The sequence below is a fragment of the Homo sapiens genome, chromosome 1 (genome assembly GCF_000001405.40).
Source record: "Homo sapiens chromosome 1, GRCh38.p14 Primary Assembly".
Taxonomy (NCBI): domain Eukaryota; kingdom Metazoa; phylum Chordata; class Mammalia; order Primates; family Hominidae; genus Homo; species Homo sapiens.
In genome coordinates this window covers 210078549-210092913 of record NC_000001.11, presented here as the reverse complement: position 1 = coordinate 210092913, position 14365 = coordinate 210078549, and the positions used below count along the sequence as shown (strand labels likewise).

General features: G+C 38.3%; 1 protein-coding gene across 17 annotated transcripts in view, besides 1 other annotated feature; it reads right to left on the bottom strand.

The window, feature by feature from the left end:
- Positions 1-14365, bottom strand: part of SYT14 (synaptotagmin 14) — a 233173-nt gene that overhangs the window by 78476 nt on the left and 140332 nt on the right. The window lies entirely within an intron of this gene.
- Positions 12491-12660: an enhancer, noted in NCBI's record as "experimental_2922 CRE fragment used in MPRA reporter constructs". NCBI's record gives its function as "activates a minimal promoter by MPRAs in K562 erythroleukemia cells, with activity observed for both the introgressed and non-introgressed 1:210253684 variant alleles {active_cell/tissue: K562}" and the evidence as "EXISTENCE:reporter gene assay evidence [ECO:0000049][PMID:34662402]".

Below are 14365 nucleotides of genomic sequence, written 5' to 3'. Positions count from 1 at the left end.
GTTACTTACAATGTCTAACACAATGTGAATGCTATGTAAATGTTGTAATACTATATTGTGTGGGAAATAAGAAAAAGTCTGTATGTTTGGTACAGATGAAACCATACATTTTTTCAAATATTTTCCATCTGAGGTTGGTTGAATTCACAGATGCAGAACCTACAGACATGGAGGGCCGGCTGTACTAACTTTAGTTTATAACGTAAGCAAAAAGTAAAAAAGTGGCTGAATTAATAAAGTTGAAGCTAAATTCAAGAAGACAGATTAGACATGTTGCAAGTCATAGCCAAAAAACCCACAGAATTCCAGAATAGTAAAGAGACAAGTGGTTTTAGGCAGTTAATTGGCTTGATCCATTTATGTGGTAGGTAAGTATGTGTGGCTGCCACCGCTGGCAGACTGACTTGACTCCATCCATAACCTCTTTTTCTCCTAAGCAGCATTCTGATTAGGAGTGGCCAATGAGATCTAAGCAGATTTCAGAGTGAACCTTCCAGGAAAGTTTTTGTTTTCCTGATAAAAGCAGGTAGACTCTACTGGCATGCCCCTTTGTCCCTTTGCCTTTCGCCTGCTTCCCTCTTGGAGGAGTAGCAGCAGCTACCTTGTGACCATACAGTGACAAGTATGAGAATGAAAGCTAGGAAGGCAGAAGCAGGAAAATGAAAAGCCCGGTATCTGAAACATCACTAAATACCTACCTCCAAACTTGACACCTGAGACAAATCCCTATTTGTTAAAGAAAAAGAAAAAAAACTATAATAGTTGGATTTTCTACTGTTTCCAAATATATTCTCAATGGATATAGTTTATTAATCATTAAACTGGCATCCTCTGCCCCTTTAAAAGTACATATTTAATTAGCCACTGAATTAAACGGTAATACCTAAATACTGCAACACAAAGTCAATTAAAAATTTTCCAACGTAAGTGGTTTTGGGAGTCAGCACACCATCTACTCCTTTACCTTTTTTCTTAGAAGAGTGGTGATCTTTCCTAGAAGTCTTGAGCATATTGCCTCACAGATCTTAATGCACAGACCTGGGTCACATGTCTATTCCTAAATCCATCATTGGTAGAAGAAATGGGATGACCATAATTGGCTTAAATTAATCAGAAGCCATCAAAATTTGAAGCTGGGGATGGGGCCAGCTTCACTCTTCATATCTATATGGAAAAGAGTAGATGCCTAAACAATGTAGGATCCAGGAGGGAGGATGAAAGAGAAAGAATGTTGGTACAAAATGAACATGATCCAGTTCATGATCCAGTGAACATGGCTCACTGCAGTCTTGACCTCCCAGGCTCAAGTGATCCTCCCTCCTCAGCCTCCCAAGTAGCTGGAACTATAGGCATGAGCCACCATGCCTGGCTAATTTTAAAAACTGTTTGTAGAGACAGGGTCTTGCCATGTTGCCCAGGCTGATCCTGAATTCCTGGGCTCAAGCAATCCGCCTGCCTCGGCATCCCAAGGTGTTGGGATTACAGGCATAAGGCACTGCGCCAGGCCTGTTTTCTTGATCAGAGTATTTTTTTTCTGCCTGTGGTTATATTTTTCCTCAATATAATAATCCTTTTCTGAGGTTCCTTTTGATATGCCAGCACAGTATAATTTTGGTTTGGTAATGATGTTACACCTTATTTCCTTTGGTTTGCTTTTTTATATTAGGTCCTTGCCTAGCTGTGGGCCAACTAAGTGTATTTTCACAGCTGAGCTCCAGGCATCTGGCGCTAGTTTAGATTTAGTGTAACTCTTGCTCCAGAGACCAAGGCACAAGTTACACAAAATGGGTTTGTGATATTTAAAGATGTTAAGTGGGCTCAATGGGTAGACTTCACTACTGTTTTCTGGATTTGAGAGAAACAACATTAAAGCTGTGAATATATAAAATTTATTTTAGCCACACCATATCCTCCAAGTTTTGAAAATAGTATTACCACCCCCTTTTATCTTTACTTTTCACTTCATTTTTGCATTTTATTTTTTAAAGTGTAGAACACACAAATGTAGGTGGAATAAAAATTTCATTAAAAAATATAGTTATGAAGATCCCTCCTTTTTAAATGTTTGCAATCTGTTTTTATTCTACATAGTGTACTAAGAGTTGGCTTAAATGTAATTGATATAAGAAAAATTTTTAAATAATTTTATAAAGTAACAAAATTTATATTATTATTGTTAAATTACACTGTAAACATCAACCTTAAGAAGAAATTTCTAGTGGAACTATCAAACACCACGTGATGATGCCCTCCCATTACTTTAGTTCCTGCTTTATTACCTAATTTCATACCCCGATTTTTATATAAATGATATATCTATAAGAGGATTTAGGCATGGATATATTTTAAGCATTTTAATTTACCATCTGCATATTGCATAGCACCTACAAAACAAGATGAAGTATTTTCTTACCATAGAAAAAATAGCATGTGTGCACACACGGAATATGACCTGTGGTTCTTAACTTTTAAAACAGTGGTGAGAACCACAGCTCTAAAAAAAAAATGATGTATATTCAACGACTGCAGAATTCTTTTTTTTTTCAAGTGCCTGTGGAAATCTGCCAAAATTGATTATATGCTGAGCAATTAATTAAGTCTCAATACATTTCACAAATTGGAAGCATGAAGAGGATGTTTTCTAAATGAGGCAGGAGAATAAAGTCCGAAGGCAGGAAACCTAAGGCCATGCTGACTTCCTAGAACTGAATCAAAAGTAAAACCCCACCTCTCCACACCCAAGTAACAAAAGGATCAGAGGCTACTCCCTTTGCACTGTGTGGCAGATGAAAAATGGGAAGTACCTCTGATTGGTCTCCTCCCACAATCAGACTGGTGACCAGCCAAGTCTTCATGTGTAACGCTGTAACTTCACTTCAGCCTCTGATTGGTCGCCTCCTCCAACCAATCAGACTGGTCACAGGCCCGTCCTTCATTACATAGGATGTAGCCAAGTAACCAATGGGAAACCGCTAGAGGTTATTTAAATCCCAGAAAATTCTGTAGCCAGTGCTCTTGGGCTGCTCTGTGGAGTGTACTTTCGTTTCACTATGCTTAAATCTATGCTAGCATAAATCTATGCGTTCATTGCTTGATTTTTTCGTTGCTTTGTTCATGCATTTTGTCCAATTCTTTGTTCAAAACACCAAGAATCTGGACGACTCATAGTCAAGACATCCACTGGTAACATGACCACTACAGAATTAAACTAGAAATCAGAAACAAAAATATAGCTAGAAAATGTATAGAAATCTAAACGAAAATAACTAGAGATTAAAATATACTTCAAAATAATCCATGGATCAAAGAAGAAATCACAATACAAATTAGAAATATCCTGAAGATATCAATCATTAAAAAGTCAGAAAACAACAGATGCTGGAGAGGTTGTGGAAAAATAGGAATGCTTTTACACTGTTGGTGGGAGTGTAAATTAGTTCAACCATTGTGGAAGACAGTGTGGCGATCCCTCAAGGATCTAGAACCAGAAATACCATTTGACCCAGCAATCCCATTACTGGGTATATAGGCAAAGGATTATAAATCATTCTACTATAAAGACACATGCACATGTATGTTTACTGCAGCACTATTCACAATAGCAAAGACTTGGAACCAACCCAAATGCCCATCAATGATAGACTGGATAAAGAAAATGTGGCACAAATACACCATGGAATACTATGCAGCCATAGAAAAGGATGAGTTCATGTCCTTTGCAGGGACATGGATGAAGCTGGAAACCATTATTCTCAGCAAACTAACACAGGAACAGAAAACCAAACACCACATGTTCTCACTCATAAGTGGGAATTGAACAATGAGAACACATGGACACAGAGATGGGAACATCACATGCTGGGGCATGTCAGGGGATGGAGGGCTAGGGGAGGGATAGCATTAGAAGAAATACCTAATGTAGATGATAGATTGACGGTTGCAGCAAACCACCATGGCACGTGTATATCTATGTAACAAACCTGCATGTTCTGCACATGTATCCCAGAACTTAAAGTATAATAAAAAAAAAATATCCTGAAGAGAATGATAATGAAAATGATCTACACAACTACTTGTAGAATGTGGCTAATCTGTGCTTAGAAGGAAATTTATAGGTCTGAGCATAAAATATTGGGGGGAGGTGGGAGGCTGAAAAACAATGGTCTAAGAATCCACTTCAAGAAGTTAACAAAAATAAGAATGATGGTTTCCAGCTTCATCCATGTCCATGCAAAGGACATGAACTCATTCTTTTTTATGGCTGCATAGTATTCCATGGTATATATGTGCCACATTTTCTTTATCCAGTCTAACATTGATGGGCATTTGGGTTGGTTCCAAGTCTTTGCTATTGTGAATAGTGCTGCAATAAACATACGTGTACATGTGCCTTCATAGTAGAATGATTTATAATCCTTTGAAACCATCATTCTCAGCAAACTAACACAGGAACAGAAAACCAAACACCGCATGTTCTCACTCATAAGTGGGAATTGAACAATGAGAACATATGGGCACAGGGAGGGGAACATCACACACCACGGCCTGTCAGCAAGTGGGAGGCTAGGGGAGGGATAGCATTAGGAGAAATACCTAATGTAGATGACCGGTTGATCAGTGCAGCAAACCACCATGGCACATGTATACCTTTGTAACAAACCTGCATGTTCTGCACATGTATCCCAGAACTTAAAGTATAATTAAAAAAAAAAAACTCACTGTAAAAAAAAAAGTTAACAAAAACAGCAAATTAAATCCAAAGAAAGTAGAGGGATGAAATAATAAAGAGCAGAAATTAAATAAAAAACCAAGCATATAACAGAAAGCATCAAAATAAAATTCACTGAAAACACGAATAAAATTGATAAACTACTAGAAGAGACGAGTCCAGAAAAAAAGAGATTACATAAAGTATTAATACCAGGAATAAAAAGAGGACATCATTTCAAATCCCACAGACATTAAAAAGACAGAAATTTCACCTTTGTTCTTCTCTTTCTGAAAATTTCAGCCCTAAAGCCACTGAGTGGGGCAGAGGAAGGCAGAGGGCTGCACTGATGGTGGCAAAGGAAGCCACAGCGGTGCAGAGCCACATTAGAGCCCAAGGGGGAAGATGTCCAGCCCAGTGTGGTATCTCAGGGCCTGGGCCCCAGTGAGATGACAGAAGGGTGTCCATGTCCATACCAGGGAGTGGAGTCAATCAAACATGCAGTGTCAGAACCCAAGGGCAGGTGAGAAGGGTTTTCAATTCAGAAAGTGACCAGACTGAGGTGTAAAGTAGGGTAAAGACATCACACATACATGGGGGCAGTCCTACAGAGCATGCTGAAGCCCAAGCAGGTAAGAAAGGCCCAGTGAGGGGAGTCAGAGCCTTGGCAGGATAAGGAAGCTCCCCATGGGAGGGCAGCCTGGCCTGGGGCAACAGAGCCCAAACAAGATAAGGAGTGTGTTCGCATTGAGGAAGGAGAGCAACCTAATGTGCAGTCAGAGAATGAGAAGTATCAGAGCTATAGAGCCAGGCGACTGGGGTGGGCTATGAAAATCCAGGAGGGTGAGGAGGGTGCCACACACAGGGGTATCTGGTGAAGTATATCAGAGCCTGAGCAGGGTAAGGTGTGCATCTGCACAGACAGGTGGCCTATCGGGATACTAGAGCCTAAGCAGCATGGGCGGGGTATCCAGTGTGAGGGTGGCCTGGAGTGTGGCGAAGTGGGGTGAAGAGGGCAACTATGTGGAGTAAGGAGGAGTCCTGGACCATGGTACTAAAACTCAGGCAGGAAGTCAGGGCCTAGATAGGACGATGAGGGCACCCAATGTGGGGCAAGCTGACCTCGGATATCAGAGCCCATGCTCAGCTGGTCATGAGGACACCCACAAGTGGGAAAGGCAGCATGAGATATCCAAACTCAAACAGAGTGAAGGGGGCATGTGTGCAGGGAGATGGGAGAACATGTGTGCAGACTGATCAAATAATAAATATATTTAAGGTTAATGGCAGCCAGGTTTCTTACTGATGGAAAAGGGAGTTACAAATATGAAAAAAGAAAAAACTAAAACAAATTCTGTGGTGTTGGATTGGAATTGGACAATCCACATAAACTCATAGTTTAAAAATACATAGATAGAAGTTATTAGTGCAAATGTGCATATATGTGTGCATATATTTGCACATACACCCACACATAAATATTCTAGCTTTGCTCACTGAGGAGATTTGTGACCACCACCACCTCAACAGCAGTGAGTCCACTGAGCGCCTGGGTCTTGGCTTCTAAATCTATTATCCACTAATAGGAACCAGGATTCTTTATAAAGAAATGGCTAATTCCAGGGTGAGGCCAGGTAAAGTACATGATGAGCCTAGAAGAGTCTGTGTATTGAAAGTGAGGAGATGTTCAAAGACTGATGGGGATATGTCAAAAGGACAAATAAATCAGCTTGACAGTGCTCCCACTGACCACTAACCATCTGAGCTCAAAATAAATATAGTAACTGATTATTGCTCACTGAAGAAATGAGAAAACTATGAGTCCATATAGATATAAATAAATATATGAATAAGTGAAAAATTTTTTGAGGAATGGGATATGTACGTAGTTACACAGTATCTTCCCACAAAATACTTTTTTAATTACGAAGGGTACCTTTACAGTGGAGAAACCTGGTAGATACCAGCTTAAACTAGAGATCAAAGTGAACATTATGAGAAACAGGACAAATCAAAATTGTACCCCACCTGATAAAATGCAGTGAGGAATATCTCTAATAAAACAGATAGGATACCTCTATAAAATAACTCCACAATCTGTCAAAATGAATCCATGAAGAAACAGGAAATTATATAATCTTTTATCTATTACAGAAATTGAATCCTTATTTTAAAACCTCCCCAATAAAGAAAATTCCAGGCCCAGAGAGAGCTTCACTGGTGAACTTATTATTTAAAGAAGGGAAAAAATAACAATTTTACACAAAATTTTTCAGGTGATACAAAAAAGAGGGACTACTTATTTTATGAGGCCATAATAACCTTGACATCAGGACCTGAAAAGTATCTTACAAGAAAGAAAAAGTATAAACCAATCTCTCCCGTGAACACAGATACAAAAAATCTATACAAAATTTTAGCAAATCTAACCCAGAGTTATGTAAACAGGGTACCATATCACAATCAACTTGGAATGCAGTTATCCTATACATGCAACATTTAACATTTAAGATGTAACATTTAAGAACTAATCAATCTAATTTATTGCACTGAAAGAACAAATATAAAAAGTAATATGATAATTGTAAAAGACTTACTAAAAGCATTTGATAAAATTCATTATCCATTCATGATAAAATCTCTCAGTGCACTAGGAATAGAAAGCAATTTCCTTTATCTCCTAAAAGGTATCCATGAAAGTCCTAAAGCAAACATCGTATTTAATGGTGAAATGTTGAAAGTTTTACCTCTGAGATCAGGAATGACAAGGATGACTGTTATCACCACTTCTAGTCAACAATGTATTAAAGGTCCTAGCCAGGGCAATAAGGGGAGAAAAAGAAGATGTAAAATGATTGGAAAGAGAAAAATAACAGTCATTAGTCTCAGATGATGATTGTGATGTAGAAAACCCAAAATAATTTAGAGATAATCTACTAAGAGTTGGTAAATTTAGCAAATTCACTGGCAATGTGATCAATATTTTAAAAAATGAATTTCTACACTCGATCAATTAGAAAGCAAAAATTTTAAAAATCTCACATATAATAGCATCAGGTAACATCAAATACCTAAGGATAATGCTAAGAAATGACATTGTTGTTATTTTTCCAGTTCTTGGGTTTATAATTAGAATGTATATTCTTAGCAATTGGTGGAATCCAAACTTTGGCATTCTAGGCAGTGCCTGCATGGTACAGGAAAGGACAGCTGAAAACCAACAGAGCTTCCTTTCTCCAGTAACACGGCATCTCAAAAGAAAGGCAGAGACTAGTCTACCATCGGAGATTAGAGAATTGCAGGTTTGACAAATGCTTTCACTAGTTTGGCTACTGCAAAAATTAGTCGGCTTGAAAAATGATGGCAGATTATCATAAACTTAATTAGAAGATGACTTCAACTGCAGTTGTTGCTCCAGATGGAGTCTTCTTATTGAGCAAATTAAGACAGCTTTGGTATCTGATATGTAGCTTTAACCTACGAATGCTCTTTTCCTTTATATTTATCCAGAAAGAATAAAAGTTAACAGGTTGTCTTCACCTGGCAAGGACAGGAATACATTTACTGACCTGCTTTAAGGAAACAAAGAATTCTTGTTCTATGCCACGATCTGCTCTGCAGAAACCTTGGCTGCCTCAATATTCCATATTACTTTTCCTTGAAGGATCAAGCTTGCTCTGATGACAGCAAGCTATTATGACCAGGAGAGTAGAAGAGTTGAGAGATGAAGTGCCTTGGTTAAGATACACACATGAGACAGAATCGAGAACTAAATCCTACAAAAATACATGGGCTTGCCATGTCAATAATGTTCCCAAGGATCCAGGGATATGATAAGAATATTCCTCCCAAAGTCAAAGAGAATTTATATTCCTTGTCTGTTTCCTAACAAGGAGACAAAAAGCTTTGTTGGCCTCTTTACACTTTGAAATCAGCACATTCTATATTTTAATATATAGCTCTTATCCATTTATAAGGTAAACTAAAAAGCTAATAGCTTTGAGTATCATGCAGAGCAAGGTAAGTCTCTCCAGATGACTGAGGATACAGTAGAGGAGGCTCTACGCCTGACCTTTGAGACCCAGCAAACCAAGTGGCGCTAAAATGTCTGTTGTAAGTAATGGCGCTAAAAAATATCATTGGGAAGCCCTGATGGTAAAATTGCAGTGGAGGCCTATAGATTTTCAAAAATTATCTTCTAGGCCAGGCATGATGACTCCCGTCTATAATCCCAACATTTTAGGAGGCCAAGGTGGGAGGATTGCTTGGGACCAAGAGTTCCAGTCCAGCCTGGGCAACATAGTGAGACTCCGTCTCTACAAAAAATTAAAAATCTGGCCAGGTGCAATGGCTCACACTTGTAATTCCAGAACTTTGGGAGGCCAAGGTGGACTGACAGCTTGTGCCCAGGAGTTCGAGACTAAGCCTGGGCAATGTGGCGAAAGTTCATCTCTACAAAAAATACAAAATTAGCCAGGGGTGGTGACGTGTGTCTATGGTCCCAGCTACTCAGGAGGCTGAGGTGGGAGGATCACTTGAGCCCAGGAGGTCAAGGTAGCAGTGAGCCATGATCACACCACTGCACTCCAGCCTGGGCAACACAGTGAGACCCTGTCTCAAAAAAAAAAAAATTGAAAATTAGCTGAGCATTGTGGCACACACCTGTAACTGCAGCTACTAAAAGACGATCGTTTGAGCCCAGGAGATTGAGGCTGCAGTGAGCTATGATTGTGCCACTACACTCCAACCTGAGCCACAGAGCATGACCCTGTTATAAAATAAATATATAATCTTCTTTTGCACCTTCAGATACATTTTATTAGAAAAAAAAGTTCAGATCATTTTTATGTCACGCCTTGAAAGTCTAATCTTTAATTAATTTATTTTCCTGATGGTTTGAAATAATCCATTACTCGGCTGGGCATGGCGGCTCACGCCTGTATCCCAGCTCTCTGGGAGGCCGAGGTGGGTGGATCACTTGAGGTTAGGAGTTTGAGACCAGCCTGGCCAAGATAGTGAGGCCCTATCTCTACTAAAAATACAAAAAAACCCCAAAAATTAGCTGGGCATGGTGGCACATGCCTACAATCCCAACTACTTGGGAGGGTGAAGTGGGAGGATTTCTTGAACCTGGGAGGTGGAGGTTGCAATCAGGAGAGATCATGCCACTGCACTCCAGCTTGGGTGACTGAGTGAAAATCCGTCTCAAAAAAAGAAAAAAAAAAAAGAAATAACCCATTACTCAAACCAGACTGCACGTATAGCTACCAACTTTCTACCAGTACAATCTTATTCAGTACATCTATTTCTCTAGTGAAAAATCAATTCACTGCCTCTCATTTCTTGACCCTTAGAGCTGTAAAGCAAGACCATACTCACATCAGCAAGTAAAGTGAAAAGCATTTCTGTTTTGAGAAACAGCTCTTGGTCTACTATTAGTATCAAACAGAGGCTATCTGGAAGACCAAGGAACACCAGTTAGCAATGTGGTCCAACCTGTCCAGTATGAAACAGATGACATGTGATCTCCTAGCTATAAAGTTGAGGATGTCCAGCTGCAAACCATCTTTAACAAAAGTTGGCATATATTGGATGATAATTATCAGGCTAAGTAGGCTCTAAGAGATAGGTAGGTCTTATAGTTATGCCTGTTTTCTCTTGCTTATCTACACTCATAGTCTCACGGGGAATACATCATGACTAGCTAACTGAGTAGAAAAATTATATCTAGTGATATACCAACACCAACAGAAGCGAAATGTTCTGGTATTCTAGTACCTTTCAGAGGTGGCCCTGAAAGATAATAGAAAAGGAAAACCTCGGTGGATAGAATTCCTAGTAGTCTCTTCGGTTCTCAACTTTGCTTAGAATAAGGGTTGGTCTCCATTATTTCCTAGCTGCCAATGGTTTGGCTCGATGTATGGACTTGGGAGGAGAAAGACTGGAAGACTGATGTCACCTAGAATGGCTCTATGGCTTGAAAACATTTACGTTTCCAATACAACTTAAAACTCAAATATGCACCAAATATCATGATTTCTAAAATTTAACCCCACATATTCCAAGTTTAACTCTTTCTTAGATGGAAAACACTTTTAAATATTCTAACAACTACATTTACTCAACTGCTTTGCTTTGCTCCTTAAACTGAATTCCTGCTGCTGTCAAATAGAAACTGAAAATCTTAACATTTAACGTTAACTTTTCTCTCTACAAATAGCATCGAGGAATTTCCACAACTGAGCTCAGCATGACTTTTTTCCAAATGAATCTAATTCCTATGCTTAATCATATTCATCTTTAATCAAGACTGTCTAGATGTTTCACTATCATATGCTTGTCAGGTTTTAATTCAAACTTCCTACAAACTATAGTGCTATTATGATTATAGGATTACTATGATATTGTTTATTCTGTTTTGTGAAGTGCTTTGGATACTAGGTAGTTGGGTAGTTCATGATGCTTATGAGGCTGAGGCTATAGTTTTATCTCTCCAACTGTGTTTATTCTATATCACATTAAAAACCACAGACATATCATGTTTTATTGTGCTTTGCTTTATTGTGCTTCAAAGATACAGCAGTTACACTGAAGGTCTGTGGCAACCCTACATCAAGCAAGTCTACTAGTGCCATTTTCCCAACAGCATGTGCTCATTTTTCTAGCAATGAAGTATTAATTAAGGTATGTAAATTGTTTTTGGCATAATACTAGTACACACTTAATATACTACAGTATTGTATAAACATAACACTTATATGTACTAGGAAACCAAAAATATCGTGTTACTTGCTTTATTGCAAAATTTACTTTATTCCAACAGTTTGGAACTGCACCTGCAGTATCTCTCAGGTATGCCTGAACATCCTTAACTATACCCAGAAGCAGACTTAGTCTTGCTCCGGTTCCAGGGACAAAATGTTTTGTTCATATCATATAGTATTATAGTTCTTCAGAGCCGGTTCTATACTCTTTAAAGGTATACACATTACTTTCAAGACGATATCCTAAATGTTTTTTAGCATGCACTAAGAAAAGTCTCAGACATCCAGCTCCTGCTCCAGCTTTATCTCTCAGCCTCTCCTTCTCAGAATACTTATACCCCTCAATCCAGTCACAGCCGTACACTGGCAATTTCCTCAATGCGCTATGGTCTTTTATGCTCTCTTTGGTACATGCCCTTCCCTTGGCCTGTGATATCCTTCACTTCCTCCTCCTTTTTACTTGGGTAAGTTCACATATTATCCTGCAAGAATCAGCTTAGTTGTTACCTCTTTGAAGAATTTCAAAGATTCACTCTCTCCTATCCTTCCCAGTTGCATTTGTCACCCCATCCCCAAACATAACCACGCTCTCCCCAAACACATCCATCTATGCATGCATGTTGGGTTAAGTGGTCCTAAGTACTTATTTCTACAGCACACGTTGCTTCCATCATTTACAATGTATTGCACTATGTTAACATTTAACATTAACTTTTCTATCTCTGTTTAGATGTTAATGTGAGCTTCCTGAAAGAGCAGAAACTGTCTCTTATCTTTGTACCTGCAGTGCCCAGCAACTTGCTTGAAATGCAGTTGCTACATCACAATTTTTAAACAGTTTGTTGAATAAAGGGCAAAATAATTGTTGCAGAGGTATTCAATGTGACCCAACCATGACTGGCAGGGCAGTGAAACCTCTGGGTTCCCATGTCATGAACTCACACTATATTTTCTGTTGTAACATTAAGAAAATAAAGAGTACGTGATATCAAGAGGTGTGACTATTCAGTTATAAAACTCTTCCAACTGAAACATGTCACAGAAATACCAGGCTGTTAGAAAAAAGCCAAGAAAACAATTATTTTAAAAATTTCCTTCTAATCTGACTACATGATATTATGACTCTAAATTATGATTCTGAAAATGACTTCAGATTTCTTTTAGGGGACACTGGAGGGTGTTTTATTCACAAAATTGCCTAAACAATTAAATGAAATGACAAGTGTTCCTGCTAAAAGGCTGATCTGGTTTAAAATATACAGAGTAGATATTTCAAATCCATTGCTTTAAATTCACTGAATTATCCTAAATAATGCAGCAATTTTTGAGGACAAAATTAAAAAGATAATTGGTATTCCTCAGAAAACTTCACAAAACCAAACTAGATAAATCTAGAATTAAATTTAACAATATATATTTTATCACCTTTAAAATACTATGAGGACAACTCAATATCAACAAAGACCAGAATTTCTTTTTACTTTGTTCAACTATACTGAAACTAAAAGACTCTTGATAAATAATTCCCTATTAAATTTTGAAAGGAAGATTGTCCAAAATTACAATGTTAATTTCAATCAATATTTTTGGAGACTGCCAGATTCCATTTTGGTTTTCCCTCCTTGCATTGCAGCCTCAAAATTGTCTCTAAGTAATAAGCTGGGGTCTTCATAGGTATTTCCTCATTCGTTTGCTTTCTCTCATGGATCATATCCCTGCCCTGCCTACTGTCCAATGACTCAAAATAGTTTTTTCTTACATTTTTTTTTCCAGTGTTCTAATTATTTCTGGCAGGAAAGCAAGTCCTTTAGCAGCTACTCCTTCATGGGCTGAGGTAAAAATTCTAAGTCCTCTAATTTTAAACAAAATAGGAATAAGCTAGATATGCATTCTCAACTCGGACAATGTCACGCCCAAATGAGCCACAAGTGGTTTTTGGAGTGATGGCAAAAATATCTTCACTATTACGTTTTATGGGTTACCAAAACACAACCCTACCTGACAAAAAACTTATTCCTTTGTATTTATCTTCTCATTAGGTAGAATTTTTTTTAAGACTTAGTGGGTACATATGCAGGTTTGTCACATGGATATAACGGTAACAATTATAGTTATATAATTGTTATATTGTGTGATGGTGAGGTTTGGGCTTCTATTGAACCCATCCCACAAATAGTGAACATAGTACCCTATTATATAGAGATTATTTTCAAATTAATTAATTTATTGATTTATTTAAATTAAATTGAAATGATCTCTGTAGGGGAGCAATGATGAAAAAAGGCTGAGAAACACCGACCTAGATAGTTTTACAAGGCATCTACTCAGGCTAAAAAAAAACAATGATTAAAAAATTGTTACAATACTATAGCTTTAAAGGATTCATACATGCTGGGCGCAGAGGCTCACACCTATAATCCCAGCACTTAGAGGCCAGGACGGGCTGATCGCTTGAGCTCATGTGTCCAAGACTAGCCTGGGAAACACGGTGAAAACTCGTTTCTACAAAAAGATTGAAAAAAAAAAATAGCCAGGCATGGTGGCACATAACCCTGTAGTCCCAGTTACTGGGGAAGCTGAGGTGGGAGAATCACTTGAGCCTGAGAAGTCGAGGCTACAGTGAGCCATGATAACATCAGTGCACTCCAGCCTGGGCGACAGGGTAAGACCCTGTCTCAAAAAAAAAAAAAATTCATACGTATATCATATTATTCATAGACGGTCAATGAAAATTTTTTCTAACATGCTTGATATTTCTAGAGTCCACACTAGGGTAACATGTTTTCATGACTTTTTTGTCCTTCAATGTACACTCTAGACCTGTGAATTTCAAACTCTTGAACCAGAACCCACACCATAAATACATTTTAAAAGTATATGTCTTAAATTATGG